Source organism: Homo sapiens, chromosome 9, assembly GCF_000001405.40.
Source record: "Homo sapiens chromosome 9, GRCh38.p14 Primary Assembly".
Lineage (NCBI taxonomy): Eukaryota > Metazoa > Chordata > Mammalia > Primates > Hominidae > Homo > Homo sapiens.
The window spans coordinates 122,725,931-122,753,072 of record NC_000009.12 but is presented as its reverse complement, the minus strand read 5'-3'; the positions used below and the strand labels follow the sequence as shown (position 1 = coordinate 122,753,072).

The 27,142-nt window shown below is 39.0% G+C and overlaps 1 protein-coding gene across 1 annotated transcript; it reads right to left on the bottom strand.

Moving 5' to 3' along the window:
- OR1L6 (olfactory receptor family 1 subfamily L member 6) lies at positions 2,290–10,770 on the bottom strand. The gene is made up of 2 exons (NM_001004453.3): positions 10,700–10,770; positions 2,290–3,238 (listed from the first exon to the last, which is right to left on the bottom strand). The coding sequence occupies exon 2, from the start codon at positions 3,223–3,225 to the stop codon at positions 2,290–2,292; it is 936 nt and encodes a 311-aa protein (NP_001004453.2). The 5' UTR covers positions 3,226–3,238; positions 10,700–10,770.
- Between the last annotated feature and the right edge of the window lie 16,372 nt (positions 10,771–27,142).

Here is a 27,142-nt window from a genome sequence, read left to right as displayed (position 1 = left end):
AACCACCATAGCACACGTTTACCCATGTAACAAACCTACACGTCCTGCACATGTATCCTGGAATTTAAAATAAGTTAAAAAAAAAAAAGTAAGTTAGTGTTCTCAGGACTAAAGAACTTAATTGGATTTATAAGTTAATGGTGGCATAATTAATGAATTTGTTTATTTAATGTATATGTAATATACATATAATTTATGAATAGATTTATTTAATATAGATATTCCTAACATTCTGAAGTAGCTAATTGAACTTGGTTGAGCATGAGAAAACTATGGCACATAAATTGAGTAAGTGGAAATGGTACATATCTTCTAGGCCAGCATCCCACAAACCAAATGATCAGTGAGAGATAGTGGTGAAAACCAGGTGTGCCTGTACAAACACGAAGGTTATTGCTTTGGGTTTCTTTCCTGGCTTTCTGGTTACTCCCTTATAATTAGGAGCACGTAGTGAAAGCACTAGCAGGGACCTTGATGTCGGAACCTAGGTGTCCCTGTATTTCCTTGGACACCATTCACCTCTTACTAAATCTTTAAGGCCAAAAAACTTGTATTCAGCGTCAGGTCCTGCCACACAAGCTTGTGACCTAGAAAAGCTGATGGTTGTGGGAACTTGATGAAATAATTGAAGCAGAAAAATCCCAGACAGTGTGTAAGTGTTACATTACTATTGTTATTGACAATAACACAATCCAGGAGAACTGATGAAGCAACTAATTCACACTGATGTGTTTGTATGTTAATATAGTTGGGTAGTAGTAATGAATGCGGTTTATCAAATACTTCTGGCTTTCTAAAATCTTAGAGGGACATAGTTGGATTGTGCCTCCTGGCTGCCTTGCGTTTGGGTGGGGTCATGAGAGGTGTTTTAGACAATAAGTTATGGTCATAAGAGGTGAGGGTCACTTCTGGGCCAGAGTTTTTAACTGCCAGTGTGAAACCTCCAAGAGCCTTTCTCAGCTTCTGGCAGAGTGATGATTAATGTTTTCAGTGGTGACTGCTCCACGATCTTGGGTCTCTGCATGTTGAAAATAAGTAGCACACTTACACTTTTCTATGGTGGACCTACAATGTGAATGAGAAATAAACCTTTGGTTTTAAGGTCCTAAGACTTTGAGGTTGATTGTTTCCATAGCACAACCGAGCTTTTTCCTAACTGATACATTAGCTTTTTCTAGGATACAAAATGCAGCTTGGTGAGGATGCTGGATGTATGAAGGGAAGAATTAAGAGGGAAGGGAAAAGAAATCGGGTACTGAGCCTTCACACTGTCATGAAACTTAAGTGTTGGTGGGGGGGAGAATAAATGCATTTTGTAGATTCTTCTATCTTTCCAGCCGTATTCTCCTTTCTCTCAAACTGATGAAGCCTCAGCTTTTCATTGTCCCTCAAACACATTGCAGTGCTTATTGTCTCCACATGCTTGGGTGGTTTTCACTATTTGAAATGCTTTGCCCATTTCTTCATCTTTTGAAACTTCCTCTTTCAAAATTCAGTCCATCCTTCAAGATGCCATTCCTTCAAGAAGTCTTACCCAATGACCTATCAAACCCATGTAGTTTCTTCTTCTTAAAACTAATGAGTTTTATAAGTCGTGGTGGCTCACCCCTGTAATCCCAGCACTTTGGGAGGCTGAGGCAGGAGGAACCCTTGAAGCCAGGAGTTCAAGACCTACCAGGGTGAGATAACATGACCTTGTCTCTACAAAGAAAAAAAAAAAAGTCGAGTGTGGTGGCATGTTCCTGTAGTCCCAGATACTTGGGAGGCTAAGGCAGGAGAATCACTTGAGCACAGGAGTTAGAGGCTGCAGTGAGCTATAATCGCACCATTGTACTCCAGCCTGAACAACACAGTGAGATTATGTTTCTAAAAAAAAAAAAGCCACGCACACACAAGAACAACCCCCCTCCGCCAAACAAAAAACTAACAGGATTTAAACTCCTTGACTGCTAGCCATTGTCAGGCTTATAGACAAGTTATTTGGAGATAGCTTTATTTCTCTATATGATTGCCAATCTATTGAGGATGCAATACTCAGCTTTCAAAACCTGAAACCTTTTCCTGAAATCTGGATTCCTAACAGTACCTAGCCTGAGACTGAATATGTATTTGGTTAAGATCATGCATAGAAACTAATTGTTTTGCTCCTAGGTCAATTCTCTTATTGGTATCCAACACCACTTTTCATGACCTCTTTGAGTGCCACGTGGAAAATAGTTACTAAGGAAGAATAACCTGATAATCTCTTCGATCATGTCTTAATTATGACACACCAACATTTTGTTCCTTTTACCGGTAAATTCTGTCCTGTAATTTCTTCAAACCCCTCTTCATATCTTTGTTCCTCAGGCTGTAGATGAAAGGGTTCAGCATGGGTGTCACTACTGTGTACATAACTGTGGCTACCCGGTCCCTAACCACTGAGTACATGGACAGGGGCCTAAAATAGACATAAATAATACTCCCATAGAAAAGGGCTACTGCAGTGAGGTGGGAGCCACAGGTAGAGAAGGCCTTCCACTTCCCGGCTGCAGAGGGGATTCTGAGCACAGTGACCATGATTCGCAGGTAGGAGAAGATGATACACAGGAAGGGGGTCACAATGACAGCTAAGGTCTCAGTCATCACCACCATCTGGCTGGAGGATGTGTCAGAGCAGGAGAGCTTTAGCACAGGCTGGGTGTCACAGAAAAAGTGCTTAATGATGTGAGAGGCACAGAAAGACAAGCGAGACATAAGTAGCACGCGGAACAGGGAATGTAGGTGGGAGATGCTGCAAGAACCCAATAGCATGAGCAGGCAATGCCGTGGTTTCATAACCACATCATAGTGTAAGGGGTTGCAGATGGCCACCAGCCGGTCGATGGCCATAGAGGCCAGCAGGTAGCTGTCAGTGTTCCCAAATGCCATAAAGAAGTACATCTGGGCCAGGCAGCCCACATAGGAGATAACCTTTGTCTCTGATAGAAAATTCACCAGCATCTTAGGCACTATGACTGTTGTGAAGCAGATATCCATGAAAGACAAGTTGCTGAGAAAAAAGTACATAGGGGTGTGGAGCCTGGGGTCAGAGTAGATGGCCGGGATGATGAGCACATTCCCCACCGCAGCGAGCAGGTACATGATGAGGAAGATGGCAAAGAGAGGTTTCTGCAGCTGAGGGTTGGAAGAGAGGCCCAGGAGGATGAAGCCTGAGGTGCTGCTGCTGTAGTTCTTTATCTCCATGTCTCTGGACTTCCTGGATAGGGTTTGGAGAAGCAGTGGGAGAGATGTAAAGGGCAGTTTGACCAAGACAGCTTCTTTCATAAGCTTAAGCCTGTAAAAATAGCTCATAGCCCTTTGTTACGGTTGTTTTTTTTTTCTTTGAGACGGAGTCTCGGTCTGTCGCCCAGACTGGAGTGCAGTGGCGTGATCTCAGCTCACTGCAAGCTCCGCCTCTCGGGTTCATGCCATTTTCCTGCCTCAGCCTCCCGAGTAGCTGGGACTACAGGCATCCGCCACCACGCCCGGCTAATTTTTTTGTATTTTTAGTAGAGACGGGGTTTCACTGTGTTACAGTTTTAAAAAATATTTACTTTAAGAAACCATGGAGAAACAGGTAGTAAAAATCCAACAAGGGAACAGTTAAAATTATCCAGGCTGCCTCCTAAACTAGAAACTGAAGATTTTCAATTTTCCATTCCATGCTCATGGATCAGGAGAATTAATATAGTTAAAATGACCATACTGCCCAAAGCAATCTACATACTGAACATAATCCCTATCAACGTAGAAATATCATTTTTCACAAGATTAGAAAAAAGCGATTCTAAAATTCATGTGGAACCCAAAGAGCCAGAATAGCCAAAGCAATTTTAAGAAAAAAGAACAAAGCTGGAGGCATCACATTACCTGACTTCAAAATATATTACAAGGCTATAGCAGCCAAAATAGCATGGTGCTGTATAAAAACAGACACACAGATCAATGGAACAGAATACAGAAAGAAATAAATCAATATATCAAAGGGATACCTGCACTTATATGTTTATTGCAGCACTGTTCACAATAGCAAAGATCAACCTAAGTGTCCATCAATGGATGAATGAATAAAAGAAGTGGTGTGTGTACGTATACGTGTACACACACACACACACACAATGGAATACTGTTTAGCCATGATAAATAATGAAATCGTGTCATTTGTAGCACTATGGATGGAACTGGAGGTCATTATTCTGAGTGAAACAAGCCAGGCACAAAAATACAAATATACAAATAAAAAAATATAAAATCAGAAAACACTAATATCACATGTTCTCACTCATAAGTGGGTGCCACAAATATATACATAGGATCATTGTGAGTGGAATGATGGATAATAGAGACTCAGAAGAAGTGGGGGTCAGGAGTAAAAGGGGAATGAATGATGATAAATTGCCTCATGGGTACAATGTATGTTATTTGCATGGTAGACACCCTAAAGACCCTAACTTGACCGCTGCACAATGTATTCATGTAACAAAACTGTACTTGCACCCCATAAACTTATACAAATGAAAGATAAAGATTTTTCCATGTGTTCTTCGGAACTTCTAAGTGGCCTAATTTGCCTGAGTTCTTCTCATTTCCCTTTCTGAAGTTTCTTTTTAGGTTGTCTCTTGACCAACTTCTTAGCTTCTTTTTTTTTTTGTTCCAGAGGAAGTGGTTTCTGGGTCCCACCTTGAATGAGGATACTTTCATTCAGGGTATCTCCATGAATGACACCCTTTCATTCAGGGTCCTCTCCTGCTCATAGTTCTGGAGGTGGTGATGATAGTTGAGATAGTACAATAATGAACATCAGAATTAATCAATGCTCCTTATTGTCCACAGAATTCAGATGAGCCTTCCTTAAGTCTTCAGAGCAAAGCCTGCTTAATGCCTGTTTAAACCTTTCTGTTTGGTTAATATGATGTGGATACTTTAATTTTAAGCGTTTGGTCCAAAGATGTCACTCAAAATAGGAGTACTACCAGGAATAGCCTATGTTACTGTGATTAGTTTTTAAAGTATGTTAACTTTTCTGATTATAAAATTATAACATCCTTTTTCTAAACATTCAAATATTACAGGATTATAAAACTTTGATCATTAAGAGTCTTATTCTACCAATATCATGAAAAGAGCAGAAAAGGATGGCTCCTGTTACCACTATTAAGCTATACTGTTGATATAGTGGTCTCAATCAGTGAAAAAGTAAGAATTAAAAGACATAAACATTAGAAATGATGAAACTGTCCACCTAGAAAATCCAAGATAATCATCTGAAAAAATTTAAAATCTATGAAGACTTTACCAAACTAACCAGATAAAATTAAATATACAAATATTAATACTTATATTAGAAAAATGTAATTTGGAAAACATTTCAATTGACAGTGTTAAGAAAGTCTAAAAAATACTTAGGAGTAAACCTGAGCAATAAAAATAAATGAGTAAGATTTATCTGAAGAAATTGTAACAGAACACAAAATGAAGATCTAAATAAACAGAGATATTTGTATCAATATTTTAAAAATGTTAATTCTTCTCAAATTAATAAAATTCAATGCACCTCTAATAAGACCCCAGGGGAATTTTTAATGAAACTTGTGAAAGTTTTTCTAAAATTCACCTAGATGAATAAATGGCTAAGAACAGATGAAATAATTTTGAAAAAAATTAGAACAATTTCAGGGAACTTTTCTAACCCCAATCAAATTACATAATAGTGAAAAACAAGATAATGGCACAAACAGAGAAAAACAAATCAATGGACCACCATAAAGAATTTTGTAGATCTGTATTTATGCATACATATATATAGGTAGATATATAGAGACAGTAATTTATCTGCAACTTAATATATAGTAAAACTTAATAGCATCAAAGAAAGAATGGAATATTAATGATATTTGTCACAATTGGTTGAACACTTGGAAAGTATAAGGCTAGATTTCTATCTAACCCACACATAGAAATAAAACCCAGATAAATGAACAACCTAAAAGTTAAAAATCCAAACTACAAAGTAAGTTTGAGCCAAAACTAAAGGAGCACATTTTTACAGTCTCAGGATGGAAATGTCATTCCAAGCAAGAAATGAAATGAAGAACAAGAATGACAAAATAACCCACTTAAAAATTTGAAAATTATACCAAAAGAGATCATAGGCAAAGCTAAAATAGAAACTATTGACTCAATGAAAATATTTGCAACACAGTTACCAAATAAAATGTATGACAAGATGATCAGCATAATTGATAATCAGAAAATGTGGACTGAAATTCAATTCTCACTCATCAGTTTTATGCAAATTTTTTTGACATTATACAAAGGGAATTAGATCCTCATGTATACTAGCAGTAAGAGAGTAAATCAGTGTTGACCCTTTGGTAGTCTCCATCAGAACTGAAAATCTGCACTTCTTTGTCCAATAATTTTACTTATGAAAAGCTATCCTTTAAAAATAGTAATATTTGTATATCAAAATATATGTACAGACATTTTATTGTGATGTTGCTTACAATAGCAAACTAAACATAATACAACATAACAAACAAAACAACCACAGAGGAAACAGAGTATTCACAAATAGGTGATTTATTAAACAGTTTATAGTATATTTTTATTACTCAACGTCATGCAGTCTCTAAAGAAATAAGATGGGTAATGTTAGCCAATATTTATTAACACCTGATATATGCTACACACTGAGTTCAGTGCTTTGCAAAGCTTTTATCATTTTATTTTCTCCAAATCCTATGACATAGACATTATTATAATTACAACTTACAGATATAAATTTAGAGTGTAGCAAAATTAAGTAATTTACCAGATCCCGCAGGGAGTAAGTGGTAGAGCTGGAATTTGAATTCAGGCAGTCTGATAGCACAGACAACACAAAATGTCATAGACATTTTGTTATGTGACAAAAACAAGGTAGAGAACAATGCCTAAAGAATAATCCCATTTTTGAGTTGAACAAAGAGAACACATGGACACAGGGAGGGGAACATCACACACCAGGGCTGTCGGGGAGTGGAGGGCAAGGGGAGGGAGAGCATTAGGACAAATATGTAATGCATGCCAGGCTTAAAACCTAGATGACAGTTTGATGGGTAAGGAAACCACCATGGCACATGTATACCTACATAACAAACCTGCACATTCTAGGACTTAAAGTATAATAATAAAAAAAGAATAATCTCATTTTTGTAAAGAAAAGTATTTTTTTTAATGTGTTTGTTGTGGTGTGGAAAGAGTCCTTAAAAAGTGTTTATGTGTAATGTGGTTACCTTCTGAATTTTCATACTTAACTTTATATTGTATTGTCTGTATTTAAAAACAAAGGTGTGTTTGGCTGGGTGCGGTGGTTTACGCCTGTAATCCCAGCACTTTGGGAGGCCGAGGCGGGCGGATCATGAGGTGAGGAGATCAAGACCATCCTGGCTAACACGGTGAAACCCCGTCTCTACTAAAAATACAAAAACTTAGCTGGGCGTTGTGGTGGGCGCCTGCAGTCCCAGCTACTCGGGAGGCTGAGGCAGGAGAATGGCTTGAACCTGGGAGGCGGAGCTTGCAGTGAGCCGAGATCACGCCACTGCACTCCAGTCTGGGCGACAGACCGAGACTCCATCTCAAATAAAAAAAAAAAAAAAAAAGGTGTGTTTATTTATAGTCATTTCGTAATTTAAAAGGTTAAATTTCCTATAATTCCACTGGAATTGTGTGCATATTTTAAAGATCTTTTTCTCTGCATAGATCTATATACACTGCATATAGGAATGAGGTTAAATGGTTCATTATGCTTCCGCTACCCCAAGAATGTTACAATGGATATTTTTTGTCTGTATATACATATTTCTCACCCATGAGATAATTTTTACAGCGTAGAATAGATCTTGAGATATGGAATGCTAAAATGGAGTTTATAAATCTTGAAAATGTCAATAGATATTAGCAACATGAGACACATAACTTTCATCTCACTCTTAGGCAATGTACTTATTTAACTCTTTGGGTTCGTTCCACATTTCCTTCTCTGTATCTTTTAGCTTCACCCCTGGGACACAGTTTATCCTGGTGGTAAAGGGCTATCTCATCACCCTTGGCTTGAACTTGGAATTTTCCAAATTTATGAGATTTTTCTCAGGGGCAGTAACTTAGCTCCTTCCCATTTAGCTGGATTTGACAGCATCATGTATTTTCCTCATGCCTCGGGCAAGTCATTTCACTTCCAAATAGATGATGGTGCACACATGTATGCTTGTGTGTGTGCCACTTTCTACCCTGCCTAGGAGCTGTCAAATGACAGTTGAGTGAGTGTTTGGCAAACTCTACTGCAAGTGATTAGCATAACTGCTCATACAATAAGCTAGAGAAATGACATTTTAATGATGGGTCTTGCCATCAGGTGGTGATTGGGAAGGACCAGGAGAGACTGGGAGTCTTTCTAAGCCTTCTAAGTCACATCATTTCACTTTAAAAGGTATTTACTCCCTTCCTTGACAGACAGGAAATGTGGATTATTTCTATACTTCTAAACTTTCTCTATTAAAATTTTTACATTATGAACATTTGTCATCTCAGGTTGTTTTTCCTTTTCTTGTTTACTCATCACTTATGCAGGGTCCTTCTCTTGGCCCAATGAAACCAGGGAGTACACATTGTCAGCCCAAATGAAACCAGGGAGTACACACTGACAGCCCAAATGAAACCAGGGAGTATGCACTGACAGCCCAAATGAAACCGGGGAGTACACATTGTCAGCACACAATGCACTTCCCAAATTGGGATGCTGGGTGGGCAGTATCCTGGTGGAAAGCTACTTGTTATCCATGCACCTACTCCCCTGAATGAGCAAGGACAGTAGAGAATTGACTAAACTGGAAAAATGCAGCTAACATTTATTAGACAGAGTCTGTGCTTACCACTTGTTTCATTTAATCCTCACAATTACACTACGTTTGAAGTACCATTATTTTGCCCTTTACAACGAAGGAGACTGAAGTTCAGAGAGTCACAGAGCTGGTGAGTGGTGTATCTAGGGTTCAAACCTGGGCACACTGACTGTAAATTATGTGTTTTAAACTGCTCTATCACACCTCTTCCCCAAACTGTACATGTGCAGTAGAGAACTAAGCTGGTGTGTCCTCTGTCAACAGAGGCCATCTTATTGCCAAGTGCCTTCAGCCTCCTTGCTGACCCACTCCTTCCACCCTATCCTTTGCTCCTACATATTGGGATCCTTTTGATTTCCTTCCTTCCTACACGCATTTCTGCCTCCAATTCCACAAAGCCATGTGTTCTTCTCTGTTTCTTGCCTTCAGAGATGACAGGCTATGACTTAGGACTACAGCTTTGTCAGATCTTGAATAAACAACAGCCCTCTGATTTTGCAACATCAACACCTGACCTTAAGATCTCTGGATGTCTTCTGGGTCCACGTTTTGGGATTCCAGCCTCTTCTTGCTTACTGTCTTTTCTCTTCCAGCAGTAAGGCAAGCAGATTGGCAGTGTTGGGTGCATAGACCCCCTACAGAGATATGTTCCACTTGGGGATTCTGCAGGTCCTTTCTAGGCTGGCTTCTTCTCTTTTCAGTTCTCTGAAATGTCTTCTTTGTCAAATTAGAGGTTTACCTCATGTCTCTTGCTTCAGAGAAGGTGGTATCTCAGCCTAATTTCTTATTTCCTACTTAGTTTAGGTTGAAAGTTCTTCTGGGCACTGTAGGTCCCTCAGATCAATAATTGAACCCAGTTCATCCAGCTCAGGTTGTCCTCAGCTAGCTTCTGCCCCACTTTTGTTTCTGTCTTTCTTCTCCTGGGAATCACTGATTTTCTGGATGCCTACCTCTGCTTCTCTCTCTCAATAATTCAATGAATTAAACTCTCAAGCTATTAGTTCTTCCTGGTGCCTCCCCTACCTGTGATCAGCCAGTATTTATAAGTGCAACTGCTAATACAGCTATTACAGATTAAGTATCCCGAGTCCTAAGGAAGGGGCTGTGGATTCTCAGAGAGTTTTGCTCAGATGTCATGAGGTTTTAGACCCCTCTGCCTTTCACCTTCATCATTTTAGCATCCTAGGAAAGCGACTGTTCAATTTCCGTGATTCTAGAGACAAGGAGCTCACAATATCTGGAGGGGCCCAGTCCTTGGGTGGAACACCTCTGGGTTAGGAAATTCTTCCACATCACGAGTGGAAGTTTGCCTTTCTGTTATTGCTAGGTACTGCTCGACAAACTTGACATACACTAAGTCATTTAGTCTTTACAACAACTCCATTTTACAGATAACACAAATGAGGTACAGAACTGAAGTGACTTGCCTAAGAACACACAGCCAGAGGGTGGTGGATTACATTCCCAGAGTGTGTGCTCTCAGCCTCTGCATTGCCCTATCTTGTTCACTTGTTCCTCTGTTGACCTGGTTTCCTGGAGGTGATAACTCTGTGGCTCTTGAGTTGCAGAATGTTGGCTGTGCCCTTTGAGGACAGGAGAAAGTGTCTTGAACAAAGTAGATATTTCAAATATTTGATATTTGACCAAAAAGAGAGAGAGGAAAAAATATAGAGAAAGACTGTGTTTCCTGGCTTTTGAGATGGAGGAGAGAAAAACAGGATAAGGAAAAGGGAAGAAGATCACCTGAAGATATTGACTCCACAGTTCCCATTATCAAGTCCCCTCAGTGTGCCTACCTGTGGGCTTGACAAAGGAGATTCAGGGGCCTAAAAAGACTTCGGGATCTGCCATGGGGTTAAGATCAGGCTCTGAATCTCTGAAGGAGGCTTCTTGAAGTACAGATCGAGCCTCAGAAATGTGATAGTTCTTCCTTATCTATGGTGGGAATTGTAATAAAAAGGGAGACACAGGCGCCTGTCGTCTCTGCATGCCAGAGCCCTGTGAGGATTGGTCCTGTGGTCTTCCCAGGGAATTGCAGGGGCGGGGTTGGCGGGGAACATCACTGATGCCCTCACTGAGCTCTGTGGGAAAACTGGGCTCCAGAGATGTAGCTTCTTACACCTGGGAAGGGAATTAGAGCCATGTAGCAGTAAGGGTGATGTGTGCATGCACACATGTATGCATATATGTTTATGCATATGTATGTATTCGATGTACATATGTGTACTCTTGTGCATATCTGTGTTTATGCTTATGTGCACCTACCTGGAAGGAGAGGTAATGGCCTCTGATATCGCTGAGGTTTTGTGTCTGCATGTGTGACTGTGTCTAGGTGCACCTGTAGTGTTATTGGAAAGGGGTTGGAGGTGCAGGCCCAGGAGCCAGACTAATTGGATTCTGATGCTGACTCGCATCTTACAAGCTGTGTAGCTTTTGCAAATACTACACAGGTTTCTGAGCCTTAATTTGTTTTGTTGTGTCTGCCTTTCTTAAACATTTTGTTACTTCAATGTCTTAAGCCAGACTAGTCATATTTGAATCCCAGTTCCCCCAGTTACCAAATGGGTGAATTTGGGCAAGTTATTTAGCCTCACTAACCCACATTGTCCTCATCTGTAAATGGCACAGTAATCATAAGCTTTAGAAAGATATTTCCTTTTTTCTGCTTTTTCCATTCAAATAGATTTTATTTTTTTAGAAGTTTTACATTCACAACACACTTGATCAGAGAGTAAAGACGGTTCTCATTAATTCCCTGCTCCCATATGGACATAGCCTCTCCCACGATCTACCCACTGCTAGAACATAACATTTACTACAATTTATAAGCTTATACAATGGTCCCCAACTTACGATGGTTCATCTTAAAATTTTTCTTTATGATACTGTGAATGATCCATGTTCAGTAGAAACCGTACTTCAAGTACCTATATAATCATTCTCTTTTTTCACTTTCAGTACAGCATGCAATTAATTACATGAGATATTCAATGTTTTGTTATAAAGCAGGCTTTGTGTTAGATGATCTTGCCAACTGTAGGCTAACGTATGTGTTAGCACATTTAAGGTAGGCTAGGCTAAGCTATGATGACCGGTAGGTTAGGTGTATTAAATGCATTTTTGACATATGATATTCTCAATTTACAATTGGCTTATTGGGGTATAGCTCCATCATAAGTGGAGGAGCATCTGTATTGACATATCATTATCACCCAAGACCATAGTTTACATTAGGGTTCACTCAATGTTATACATTCTACAGGTTTTGACAAATGTATAATGACAGGTACCCACTGTTATATAGTATCATATAGAATAGTTTTACTGCCCTAAAAATCCCGTGTGCTTCACCTGTTCATCCTTCTCTCCCTCTAGCCCTTAGCAACTACTGATCTTTTTACTGTCTCCATATTTTTGCCTTTTCTAAAATGTCATTTAGTTGGAATCATGCAGTATAATTGATTTTTCACCTTGGCTTTTTTTCATGTAGTAATATGCATTTAATGTTCTTCCGTATCTTTTCAATGCTTGATAGCTCATTTCTTTTTAGCACTGAATCATATTTTATAGTCTAGAAGTACCACAGTTTACTTGTTCACTTACATGTCGAAGGACAACTTGGTTGCTTCCACGTTTTGGTGACTATGAGTAAAGCTGCTAAAACGTCTGTGAAGGTTTTTGTGTGAACATAAATTTTCATCTTATTTGCATAAATACAAAGGAACATGATTGCTGGATCATATGGTAAGAGTATGTTTAGTTTTGTGAGAAATTGTCAAACTGTCTTCCAAAGTGACTTTGTCATTTTGCATTCTCACCAGCAATGAAGGAGAATTCCTGTTGCTCCACGTCTTTATCAGCATTTGGTGTTGTCAGTGTTCTGATTTGGTCATTCTAATAGCTGTGCAGTGATATCTCATTGTTGTTTTCATTTGAATTTCCCTAACGACACATGATGTGGAACATTTTTTATATGTTTGATAACCATCTGTGTGTCTTCTTTGGTATGGTGTCTGTTTAGGTCTCAATTGAATTACTCATTTTCTCGTTGTTGAGTTTTAAGAGATCTTAGTATATTTTGGATAATAGTCCTTTACCAGATATGTCTTTTGCGAATATTTCACCCAGTCTGTGGATCGTCTTCTCATTCTCTTGAAAGTGTCTTTCTCAGAGTAGAAGTTTTTAATTTTAATTAATTATACCGTATTAATTATTTCTTTCATGAATCTTGCCTTTGGTGTTGTATCTAAAAAGTAACTGCCATACTCAAGGTCATCTGGGTTTTCTCTTATGTTCTCTTCTATGAGTTTTATTGGTTTACATTTTGCATCAGGGCTATGATCCATTTTGAGTCAATTACTGTGAAGAGTGTAAGGTCTGTATCTAGATTCATTTGTTTTGCATGTGGATGTCCAGTTGTTCCAGAACCAGTTGTTGAAAAGCCTATCTTTTCTCCATTATATTACCTTTACTTCTTTTGTCAAAGATTAGTTGACTATATTTTTGTGGTTTTCTATGGTTTGAATCTTTCAACTCATGTTGAAATTTAATCCCCAATGTGACACTGTTGAGAAATGTGGCCTTTAAGAGGTAAATGAATTAATTCATTCATGGATCAGTGGGCTAATTGATTGATGGGTTATCACAAGAGTGGGACTGGTGGCTTTTTAAGAAGAGGAAGAGGCACCTGATGTAGGATGCTCAGCTCCCTTGCCCTGTGATGCCCTGCATTGCCTCAGGATTCTGCAGAGTCCCCACCTGTGAGAAAGCCCTCATCAGATGTGGCCCCTCGACCTTGGACTTCTCAGCCTCCATAACTGTAAGAAATAAATTCATTTTCTTTGCAAATTACTGAATTTCAGGTATTCTGTTATAAGCAACAGAAAACAGATTAAGACATGGATCTATTTCTGGGTGAGCTTCAATTTTTACTTTTGTAAAAAGATATAAGTAAGAGGGTGGGGGTGAGATAAGTGGTAAGTCAGGATCTGAACTCTGGTGTAGAGGTGAAGAGGTGAGCTTTGAAGACACATTATCTCACATTGTATCCCAGCTCTAGCTCACCAGCTGTGTGACTTTGGGTAAGTTCTTTAACCTCTAGGCATGGTGAAGCCATGGAATGCATGGAAGTTTTTGTTTGTTACAGGGCATAAAATGGAGAAGGTGGATGTCAGGTTAAGATAATGGGCTTTGGAGTTAGTGCCTGAGTTTAAATCTCTGCTTACCACTTACTAGTTGTATGACGTTAGGTAGATAGCTCTGTGCCTCAGTTTCCCCATTTATAAAATGGAGATAATAATGACCCTGACTTCTTTATCTTATTAAATAAGGTTTTAGTTTTGCAGTAGTTAGACTGCTTGGTGCCAGGATTAGCTTCAAGAGTGTACTTCCTGTGTTCAGAAGGGCCCAGGGCTTGGTTTAATGCTCTTCTGTCACTGTCCTAAATTTCTTAACACTCTTTGAACCAGGGAATGGGTCTCACATTTTCATTTTGCACTGGGTCCTGAAAACTACCAAGAAAGGGAGAGAAAGCAATTCCACATAAAGGCAGGCTTGATCTTCAATATAAGCTGCTCCTCTGCTGAGGGGTTTGAAGAAATCTCTGACAGAGGCTACAGTTACATTAACTGCTACTTTTACAATCAAGTCTGGCTCTGACTTCTATGAATAAAGTTTAGAGGTTCAGGACAGATTTGAAAACCAATTCCTCCCAGACTGTCTTCTCAATCTTCCCCATCATTGTGGTGCTCTCTTATTCCCTCTTTTGCTCTCTGTCTCTCTCTGGCTGGAGGAGGAAGTTCAAGGCTGGTAAGGAAGAGACATGATATCAGGGACTCAGGCTGTCTCTGTCTTTTTCCTCTACCATATGTAGCTCCCATTCCCAAAGCTGCTTCATAGTACAGATCACTGCTGGAGTTCTTGCCATTGCATCCACATTCCGAGCAGTAAAAAGGAGGAAAGCGAGGAGAAAAGAGAAGCCTCTCCCTTTTAATAGTTTCCAGAAACACTTCAGAACTCTTCTGCTTACATCTCATGGATCAGAACTTGGACACATGGCCACATCTAGTTGCAGAGGAGGCTGGGAAATGCTGTTAGCTAGGCAGCAATATACCCAGCTCAAAAATGGAGGTTTCAGAAAGAAGGGGAAAATGGATATTGGAAAAAGTTAACATGCAAATATTATTTCCTTGGCTAAAAAATTCATTTTGCTGTTCTCTATTTCATTTATTTCTGCCTTATCTTTATTATTTCTTTCTGTGAGCTTTGGATCTATTTTGCTATTCTTTTTCTAGTTTCTTAAGGTGTACAGTTATTAATTTGACATCTTTCTTTTTTTAATGTAGGGGTTTATTGCTATACATTTCACTCTCCGCACTGCTTTCAGTACATCCCATATGGTATGGTTTGCTTTTGGTATGTTGTGTTTTGCTTTTATTCATTTCTTAGTATTTTCTGATTTTCCTTGTGATTTCTTCTTTGACCTATTGGTTGTTTAAGAGTGCATTGTTTGCGTACATTTATTGCGGCACTATTCACAATAGTAAAGACTTGGAACCAACCCAAGTGTCTATCAATAATAGACTGGATAAAGAAAATGTGGCACATATACACCATGGAATACTATGCAGCCATGAAAAAGGATGAGTTCATGTCCTTTGCAGGGACATGGATGAAGCTGGAAACCATCATTCTCAGCAAAATATCACAAGGACAGAAAACCAAACACCACATGTTCTCACTCATAAGTGGGAGTTGAACATGGATAAAGGGAGGGGAACATCACACTGGGGCCTGTTGCCGGGTGGAGGGCTGGGGGAGGGATAGCATTAGGATAAATACCTAATGTAAATGATGAGTTGATGCGTGCAGCAAACCAACATGGCACATGTATACCTATGTAACAAACCTGCACGTTGTGCACAAGTACCCTAGAACTTAAAGTATAATAATAAAAAATTCAAACCCTAAAAAAAGAGTGTTGTTTGATTTCCATATATTTGTGAATTTTCTAGTTTTCCTTCTGTTGATTTCTAGCTTCATTCCATTGTAGTCAGAGAAGATACGTGTGATTTAAATTTTTAGAAATTTATTGAGACTTGCTTTCTGACCTAACATATGATCCATGTTATGACTATCCTTATGACTAAAGGATGTTTTAGCTCAAAGATGCCCCAAGATGTTTTAGTGTGAAAGTGGATTTTTCCTGGGGCTACTGAGCTGAAGAGAATTTGAAGAGTGTGAAAGCCATGTTCCTCTGCATGTGGGGAAAGCATGTGCAGGTGGAGAGAACAAGCCAATATGCAGAGAATTTGAAGAGTGTGAAAGCCATGTTCCTCTGCATGTGGGGAAAGCATGTGCAGTTGGAGAGAACAAGCCAATATGCAAAGAGACACAAAGGGGAGCAAATAGGGGGAAGAGAATGGCTGAGGTGGCCCTCAGTACCAGTCATTCTTAAGTCCTGCCTCACTCCAGACCTATTCCAGTCACATGAGACAATAAATCCTCCTTTCGTCTTAAATTATTTGAACATAGGGCTTCATCGTTTGCTATAAAAGAGCCCTGCCTATTGAAGTTATCATCTTCCATTTCTGAGAGTAGGGACCACATGACACTTAAAAAGTTTTTTTTTGTCAGAGATAGGTTTTCCCTGGAACTAAATCGCAGAAAGAGTTTATTACTAGATTTCATACTGAAGGACATCAAATACACAATGCATGTCTTGTGTGTCTGTATAGCTCTTTACAGCTCACAAAATTCTTTTGAATCCATTAGCTTTTCTGAGCCTCACAATCTCTCTGAGATGTAGATTTTACTTCCCCAGTTGTACAGATGAGAAAAACTGAGGCTGGGCGAGACAATCTGGCTTATCTACATGGCTGCTCAGCAGTGGCACCGGTCACTCTTCCCAGGTTCCAGGGATTCTGATGTGGACACCTTTGGATGGTTATCATTCTGCCTACCTCAGTCAGTATTTTAGCCAACGAAGAAATGAATCAAAGTAAAGATCACAGGACTGGATGGGGAGAGTGGTACAGGATTACCCTGATGGAAGAGGGAGGGGAAGACTAAAACCAAATGCTTGAAGGAGTGTACTTGAAGAATATAAATAGTTCAATGGGGGAAAAATGAGGCAGTGGAAGTACGGGTATGGAATGAGGGGAAAGATGGGCCCCTAGGTTGATTCCATGTCTTTGCTATTGTGAATAGTGTTGTGATGAACATAGGAGCACATGTGTCTTTTTAACAGAATGAATTATTTTCCTGTGGATATATAACCAGTAGCGGGATTGCTGAGTTGAATGGTAGTTCTGTTTTAAGTTCTTTGAAAAATCCCCAGACTGTTTTCCACATTGGCTGAACTAATTTACATTTCCACCAACCACGTGTGAGCATTCCCTTTTCTCTGAAGCTTCGCCAGCATCTGTTATTCTTTTACTTTTTAATAATTGCCATTCTGAACTGGTGTCAGATGATATCTCATTGTGATTTTAATGTGCATTTCTCTGATGATTGGTGATGTTGAACATTTTTTAATATGTTTTTTGGCCACTTGTATGTCTTCTTTTGAGAAGTATTTGTTGAGGCAGGAGAATGGGGTGAACCCGAGAGGCAGAGCTTGCAGTGAGCCAAGATCGTGCCACTGCACTCCAGCCTGGGTGACAGAGCAAGACTCCATCTCAAAAAAAAAAAAAATTTAAACTTTTATTTTAGGTTCAGGGGTACATGTGCAGGTTTGTTATATAGGTAAACTCAAGTCATGAGAGTTTGTTGTGCAGATTATTTCATGACCCAGGTACTGAGCCTAATATCCAATAGTTATTTTTTCTGCTCCTTTCGCTTCTCTGGCCCTCCACCCTCAGGTAGGCCACAGTGTCTGTTGTCCCCCTTTTTGTGCCTATATGTTCCCATAATTTAGTCCCACTTAGAAGTGAGAACATGTGGTATTTGATTTTCTGTTCCTGTGTTAGTTTGCTAAGGATAATGACCACCAGTTCCACATGTGTTCCTGCAAAGGACATGATCTCATTCTTTTTTATGACTGCATAGTATTCCATGGTGTATATGTACCACATTTTCTTTATCCAGTCTGCCATTCATGGGCATTTAGATTGAGTCTATGTCTTGGCTATTGTGAATAGTGCTGCAATGAACATACACATGCATGTGTCTTTGTAATAGAACAATTTATATTCCTTTGGGTGTTTACTCAGTAATGGGATTGCTGGGTTGAGTGGTAGTTCTGTTTTTAGGTCTTTGAGGAATCACCACACTTCTTTCCACAATGGTTGCACCAATTTATACTCCCACCAACAGCGTATAAACATCCTTTTTCTCTGCAACCTCACCAGCATCTGTTATTTTTTGACTTTTAGATAATAGCCATTCTGAATGGTGTGAGATGGTATCTCATTGTGGTTTTCATTTGCATTTCTCTAATGATCAGTGATGTTGAACTTTTTCCATATGTTTGTTGGCTGCATGTATGTCTTCTTTTAAAAAGTGTCTTTTCATGCTCTTTGCCCACTTATATTTTTTGAAATAAAGCAAGTTTATTAGAGTAGCAGTGTGCAGCAGAATGGGTGTTCCGTAGACAGATCAGGGCTATCCCATAGGTGGGGTGGCCCAGTGTAGCAGCAGCAGCAGCAGCAGCAGAAGCATACAGCAACAGTAGCTGTCCAGAGCAGCAGTCCCTGTAAACTGCTGGCTTTTTGCCCACTTATTAATGGGGCTGTTTTTTTTTCTTGTAAATGTGTTTAAGTTCCTCATAGATGCTGGATATTAGACCTTTGTCAGGTGACTAGTTTGCAAAAATTTTCTGCCATTCTATAGGTTGTCTGTTTACTCAGTTGATAGTTTCTTTTGCTGTGCAGAAGCTCTTTAGTTAAATTAGATCCCATTTGTCAGTTTTTGCTTGTGTTGCAATTGCTTTTGGCATCTTCATCATGAATTCTTTGCCCATTCCTATATCCAGAATGGTATTACCTAGGTCATCTTCCAGAGCTTTTATAGTTTTGTGTTTTACTTTAAGTCTTTCATTCATCTCGACTTGATTTTTATATATAATGTAAGGAAGGGGTCCAGTTTCAATCTTTTGCATATGGCTAGCCAGTTATCCCAGCACCATTTATTGAATAGGGCATCCTTTCCCCATTGCTTGTTTTTGCCAGCTTTGTTGAAGATCAGATGGTTGTAGGCATGCCATCTTATTTTTGGGCTCTCTATTCTATTCCATTGGTCTGTGTGTCTGTTTTTGTACCTGTACTATGTTTTTTTGGTTACTGTAGTCCTGTAGTATAGTTTGAAGTCAAGTAGCATAATGCCTCAAGCTTTGTTCTTTTTGTTTTAGGATAGCCTTTGCTATTTAGGCTCTTTTTTTGGTTCCATGTGAGATTTAAAATAGTTTTTCCTGGTTCTGTAAAGAAGGCCATCAGTAGTTTGATAGGAATAGCCTTGAATCTGTACATTGATTTGGACAGTGTGGCCATTTAAACAATGGTGATTCTTTCCATCCGTGAACATGGAATGTTGTTGCATTTTCTGTGTCATCTCTGATTTGAGTAGTGTTTTGTAGTTCTCATCGTAGAGATCTTTCACCTCCCTGGTTAGCTGTATTCCTAGGTATCTTATTCTTTCTAGGGTGATTGTGAATGGGACTGCATTCCTGATTTGGCTCGCAGCTTGACTGTTGTTGGCGTGTAGGAATACAAATGATTTTTGTATGTTGATTTTGTATCCTGAGACTTCACCAAAGTTGTTTATCAGCTTAAGGAGCTTTTGGGCCAAGACTGTGGGGTTTTCTAGATATATAATCATATTGTCTGCAAACAGGAATAGTCTTCTTCTGTTCCTTCTTGGATGCCCTTTATTTCTTTCTCTTGCCTGATTGCTCCGGCTAGGACTTGCAATACTATGTTGAGTAGGAGTGGTGAGAGACGGCATCCTTGTCTTGTGTTGGTTTTCAAGGAGAATGCTTTCAGCTTTTCCCATTCAGTATGATGTTTACTATAGGTTTATCATAGATGGCTCTTATTATTTTGAGGTATGTTCCTTTAATACCTAGTTTATTGAGATGTAACAACTCTTTGTACATCTGGTAGAATTCAGCTGTGAATCCATCTGGTCCTCAGTTTTTTTTTAGTTGGTAGGCTATTTATTACTGATTCAATTTTGGAGCTTATTACCAGTCTATTCAAGGATTCAATTGCTTCCTGATTCAGTCTTGGGACAGTGTATGTGTTCAGGAATTTATTTCTTCTAGTTTATATGTATAGACCAGGTTACAGTATTTGCTGATGGTTGTTTGTATTTCTGTGGGATCAGTGGTAACATCCTATTTGTCTTTCCTAATTGTGTTTATTTGAATCTTCTCTCTTTTCTTCTTTATTAATCCAGCTAGTGCTTTATCTATTAATTCTTTTCAAAAACTCAACTCTTGGACTTGTTGATCTTTTGAATGGTTTTTCATGTCTTAATCTCCTTTTGTTCAGCTCTGATTTTGGTTATTTCTTGTCCTCTACTAGTTTTGGGGTTGGTTTACTCTTGGTTCTCTAGCTCTTTTAGTTGTGATGTTAGGTTGTTAACTTGAGACCTTTCCAGCTTTTTGATGTGGGCATTTAATACTATAAATTTCCCTCTTAACACTGCTTTAGCTGCTTCCCAGAGATTCTGGTACGTTGTATATTTGTTCTCATTAGTTTCAAAGAACTTCTTTATTTCTGCCTCAATTTCACTATTTTCCTGAATATCATTCAGGAACAGGTTATGTAATTTCCATATAATTGTATGGTTTTGAGCAATTTTCTTAGTCTCAATTTCTAATTTGAATGTGCTGTAGCCTGAAAGAGTGGTTGTTATAATTTCAGTTCTTTTGCATTCGTGGAGGATTGTTTTATGTCTCAATTTTAGAGTATATGCCATGTGGTGATGAGAAGAATGTGTATTCTGTTATTTTTGGGTGGAGAGTTCTGTAGATGTCTATTAGGTCCATTTGATCCAGTGCTGAGTTCAAGTCCTGAATATCTTTGTTAATTTTCTGCTTTGATGATCTATCTAGTACTGTCAGTCGGTTGTTGAAATCTTCTGCTATTATTGTGTGGGAGTCTAAGTCTCTTGGAAAGTCTCTAAGAACTTACTTAATGAATCTGGGTGATCCTGTGTTGGGTGCATATATATTTAGGACAGTTAGGTCTTCTTGTTGAATTGAACCCTTTACCATTATATAATGCCCTTTTTGTCTTTTTAAAATCTTTGTTGGTTTAAGTCTGATTCATCCATAATTAGGATTGTAGCCTCTGCTTTTGTCTGTTTTCCATTTGCTTGGTATATTTTTCTCCATCCCTTTATTTCGAGCCTATGAGTGTGATTGTGTGTGAGCTGGGTCTCTTGAAGACAGCATACCATAGGGTCTTGGCTCTTTATTGAATTTGCCATTCTGTGCTTTTTAATTGGGGCATTTAGCCCATTGACATTCAAGGTTAGTATTGATATGTGTGGATTTGATCCTGTCATCATGATGTTAGCTGGTTGTTATGCTGATTTGTTTGTGTGTTTGATTTATAGTGTCACTGGTCTGTGTACTTTAGTGTGTTTTTGCAGTGTGTCTGGTAACAGTCTTTCCATATTTAGTGCTTCCTTCAGAAGCTCTTGTAAGGAAGGTCGGGTGGTAATAAATTCCCTCAGCATTTGCTTTTCTGAAAAGGATCTTATTTCTCCTTTGCTTATGAAGCTTAGTTTGGCTGGATATTAAATTCTTGGTTGGAATTTCTTTTCTTTAAGAATTTTGAATATTGCCCCCAATCTCTTCTGGTTTATAGGGTTTCTGCTGAGCATTCTTCTGTTAGTCTGATGGGCTTCCCTTTGTTGGTGACCTGACCTTTTTTTCTTGCTACCTTTAACATTTTTTCTTTCATTTCAACCTTGGAGAATCTGATGATTACGTGTCTTCGGGATGATCTTCTTGTAAAGCATCTTCCTGAGGTTGTCTGCATTTCCTGAATTTGAATGTTGGCCTCTCTAACTATGTTTGAGAAGTTCTCATGGATTATATCCTGAAAAATGTTTTCTGAGTTGCTTCCATTCTCCCCATCTCTTTCAAGGAAACCAATAGGCAGTAGATTTGGTCTCTTTACATAATCCCATATTTCTCAGAGGTTTTGTTCATTTATTTTCATTCTCTTTTCTCTATTCTTGCCTGTCTTAGAAAGCTAGACTTCAAGTTCTGATATTCTTTCCTCTGCTTGGTCTATTCTGCTATTAATACTTGTGACTGCATTATAAAATTCTTGTAGTGTGTTTTTCAGCTCTGTCAGGTTGGTTATATTCTTTTCTATACTGACTATTTTGTCTGTCAGCTCCTGTATCATTTTATTGTGATTCTTAGTTTACCTGGATTGAGTTTCAATACACTCCTCCATCTCAATGATCTTCATTTCTATCCATATTCTGAATTCTATTTCTGTCATTTCAGCCATCTTAGTCTGGTTCAGAACCCTCGATGGAGAGCTAGCATGGTTGTTTGGAGGGAAGAAGGCACCCTGGCTTTTCAAGTTGTCAGAATTCTTGTGCTGGTTCTTTCTCATCTTTGTGGGCTGATGCTCCTTCAATCTTTGAAGCTGCTTTCCTTTGAATGGTTTTTTTTTTCTTTTACCTTATTTAATGACCCTGAGGGTTTGATGGTGGTATAAGGTGGCTTCAGTTGACTGGCTTTGTTTCTAGAAGATATTAGGGGACCAAGGCTCAACTCCCCACTCCTGGACTGCATGCTCTAAATCTGGGGGACTGGTATTGGACCCTGACTTTGTTCTTGGTTCCTTGAGGTTAGGAACCCAGTGCACTAAGGCTGAGATGCTCCTGTACCACTGGTCACTACACCTCTATGGATGGTGCCAGCCAAAGCATTTCATGGGTGGTGGCAGTGGGATCCATCCTTGTTCGCATGTGCCAGCAGCAGCAGCAGCAGTGTCATATGGCAGGGTGCGTGATCATTGTCTGTGGCAGAGTACTTGCAGGTTCTGGGATGCTGGCCGCCCAGGCCTAGATTGCTCTGACATCATTAGACATTCACTATTGTTGAATGGGCAAAACCCTTTTAAGCCTTAACTTCTGTTCCTAAATTGGCCCACAACAAATTTTGGTGAGTACTTGCTAATTAATACTTGGGTTTTTCCTATTCTCAGCTCAGGTAGATACTGTTGGTTGCCTCTGTTTCCTCCTGCGCAGATTCTAAAAACATATGGATCATGTAACTGTTGGTTATTTGTCTCTAGCTTCCTGTATTTGGGGATTTATGGGAATTCTTTGTGTCTTCAAGTTGTTCTTGTTTTAGTGTTCTAGTTGTCCCATTTTCATGAGGCTACTTAGAGGGATTAAAAAATCTAAGCTGCCCTCCAAGGTCTAACAATCATATAATTAGAGCCCCACAAAGAGAGGAGAGAGTTTGGGGCAAAATGATATTTGAATAAACATTGGACTAAATTTTTCCAAATGTGAAGAAAAATATCTTTCCAAGATCCAAGAAGCTCAATAAACCCCAAGCCAGATAAACATAAATAATTCCATATACAGCTGAGCTATAGTCAAATTGTTAAAAACCAAAAATAAAATCAGCCAGGACAAAAAAACAATTTACCTAAGAGGGAAACAAAGATAAAAATGATAGCTGATTTCTCTTTAGAAGCAATGCAAGCCACAAAACAATAGAACAACATTGACACAAATTATAATCACTGTCTCCAGATTCTCACCTCCATTTATTCCTTAACATATTCCAATCTGGCTCCTTTTCCATTTCTCCATTGCCAATTCACCAAGGGCATCAATGACCACCATATCATTAAAGCCAATGAACAATCTTCAGGCTTACTTTGCTTATTAAACTTTCATCATATTTGGTCACTTATTAATAGCCCCTGCCTCTTGAAGCTTCCTCTTTTCTTGGATTCTGTGACTATTCCTATTAAGTCCCCCTCAATAATATATTCTCTATCAAACTTTTCAATGCCAGAAATACTTTTTATTCTTCTCTCACATTCTCCTCAGAACTCATGCTACACAGTGTTCCTAGTTGATATCATTTGCTCTAATAGACAGGCAACATATGTTCAATGAGCTGGATTTTTTTTTTAGTTCAGTATTGAGCAAAATCTCTAATATTTATGTTTTTGAAATGAACTTGCACTAAAAGGACTCAATACATTTATAATTCTTTTAACAAAGGACAGGCTTATAGTATTATTATTCTATTGTATTCTAGCATTCCACCTGATGTGGCAAGATGCTCAGAGGTCTGCGTAGACCCTTCTTCTGATTATATCTACCTTCAAGAAAGATTTTTTTTTCCTCTTACTGATGCTTATTAGCACATTTCTGAGTTAACATCTGGGCTCTCATGTTTGAAAAGAAAAAATCTTATTAAAGTCTTCAGATGCTTCTTACCCACTGACAGTCCCTTATTGTGACTTGGGGAAACTGGCATCATATCCTGACAGAGAATCCTCCAATTCCAACTGAGAAGTTTAGGATTTACCAAAGGGGTAGACTGGAAACTTTTTTTATCCCAAAGTGCTATCTCATGGTCACTTGTTATTTAGAATTTCTTTTAGTTTGAATTTCTGGGAATATCTTAAAGTTTTTCATTAAAAAAAATCGTGATTTTTTTTAGTGGCCATGCACTTGTTGAGGAAAAAAAGTCAGGCCGATCTCAGAACTGAAAAATAAAAGTTATGATTCTTGGGGTCAAAGGGCTTAATTAGCTTTAAAAATTATTGTAGGCTGTAATTAGTGAATTTATTTATTAATATATGCCAGGAATTCTCACATTCTAAAGTTGCTATGGCACTTAGTTGAGTATGAGAAAACTATGACATATAAATAAAGGAAATAGAAAGTAAATATGTCTTCTAGGCCAGCATCTCAAAATCAAGTGATTGGTGGGAGATAGTGGTAAAAGTCAGGTGTGCTTAAACGAATACAGAGGCTACTGCAAATTAGCTTTTCTGGCTTGCTGGTTACTTCCTTATAATTAGGAGGATTTAGTGAAAAGGGTGACAGGAATGGAACCCTGATGTTGTAGGCTAGGTGTCCCTGTGTTCCATAAGACCGTTACACACCTCTTGCTATATCTTTAAGGCCAAAAGACTTGTATTCAACTTCAAGTCCTGCCATTAACAAGCCTGCGACCCAGAAAAGCTGGTGGTTGTGAAAACTTGCTGAAATAATTGAGGCAGAAATTTTCCTACATGACTATTTTTATTGACAATAACATCATTAGGGAGGATTAATAAAGCACCTGATGTACATTGATATGTTTGTGTGTTAATAGAGCTATGTAGCAGTCATTAATGCTATTCATCAAATACTTCTGCCTCTCCATCTTAGAGGCACCTGGTTGGATTGTGCCTTCTGGCTCCCTTGTGTTTGAGTGGGGTCATGGGATGTGTTTTGGACGATAAGTTATGGTCAGAAGTGGCGTGGGTCACTTCTGGACTAGAATATTTAGTTGGCAATGTAAAATCTTCCAGTGTCTTTCTCAGCTTCTGACAGAATGATGATCAATGTTCACAGTGGTGCCTGATCTACCATTTTGGACCCCTGATTGGTTAAAATGAGCAGCATCCTTATATTTTTCTATGGTGGATGTTTAGGGAAAATTATAATAACCTTTAGTTTTAAGATCCAACTGGAGATTGTTTATTTCCACAGTATATCCTAGCTTATCCTGACTGACAAACATGGCTTTTTCTAAGATATAAAGGGTAGCTTAGTGAGGATGCTGGACATAAGAACAGAGGAATTAAAAAGGAATGGGATCACTCAGCCCTGGAATTTGAGGTACAGTGAGCTATGATTGTGTCACTGTACTCCAGCTTGGGTGACAGAGTGAGACCCTGTCTCTTAAAAAACAGAAGGGAACCAGCCTGGCCAACATGGCAAAACCCCATCTCTACTGAAAGTACAAAACTTAGCTGGGCATGGTGGCACATGCCTGTAATTCCAGCTACTAGGGAGGCTGAGGCAGGAGAATTGTTTGAACCCAGTGGGCAGAGTTTGCAGTGAGCTGAGATCTCATCACTGCAATCTAGACTAGGCATCAGAGCAAGACTCCATCTCAAAAAAAAAAAAAAAAAAAAAGAGGGAAAAGGGGTAGGGTACTGAGAACTCATACTGTCATGACACTTTGGTGTTGGGGGGTGGAGTAAATATTCTTTTTGGATCATTCTATCTGTTCGATTGGATTGTCCTTACCCTCAAACTGAATAAGACTCACAGGGTTTTTCAGTGTTTCTAAAAAATATTCCAAAATGTATTGCCTCTGTGTGCTTGGCTGGTTTTTACTATGTGAAATGCGTTGGCCATTTCCTCATCCTTTGGAACTTCCTTTGTCAAAATTCAGTCTATTTTAAGGATAAGCTTATGTCACTTTTCCAAAAAGTTCTTTCCAATTTCCTACCAAATCCATGTGGTTTCCACTTCTGAAGACTAACAGGATTTATAACTCCTTGACTGGGACCCATTGTCAGGCATATAGAAGACGTATTTGTAGAAAAGCTTTATTTTACCATATGGAAGCTAGTCTATTGAGGATAGCTGAAGTGGTTTTCCTAAAATATGGATTCCTATCAGTACCTAGCCTGAGATTAAATATGTATTTGGTCAAAGTCATGGATAGAATCTGAGTGTTTTTCAAAAGCAGTGGCAACAAAAGCCAAAATTGACAAATGGGATCTAATTAAACTAAAGAGCTTTTGCACAGCAAAAGAAACTATCATCAGAGTGAACAGGCAACCTACAGAATGGGAGAATTTTTTTTTTTGTGATGGTGTCTCGCTCTGTTGCCCAAGCTGGAGTGCAGTGGCACGATCTCGGCTCACTGCAATGTCTGCCTCCCAAGTTCAAGCAATTCTCCTGCCTCAGCCTCCCGAGTAGCTGGGACTACAGGTGCACACCACCATGCCCGGCTAATTTTTGTTTTTGTATTTTTAGTAGAGATGGGGTTTCACTGTGTTAGCCAGGATGGACTTGATCTCCTGACCTCATGATCTGCCCGCCTCAGCCTCCCAAAGTGCTGGGATTACAGGTGTAAGCCACAGTGCCTGGCCCAAAACGGGAAAAAATTTTTGCAATCTATCCATCTGACAAAGGGCTAATATCCAGAATCTATAAGGATCTTAAACAAATTTACAAGAAAAAAAACAACCGCATCAAAAAGTGGGCGAAGGATATGAATGGACACTTCTCAA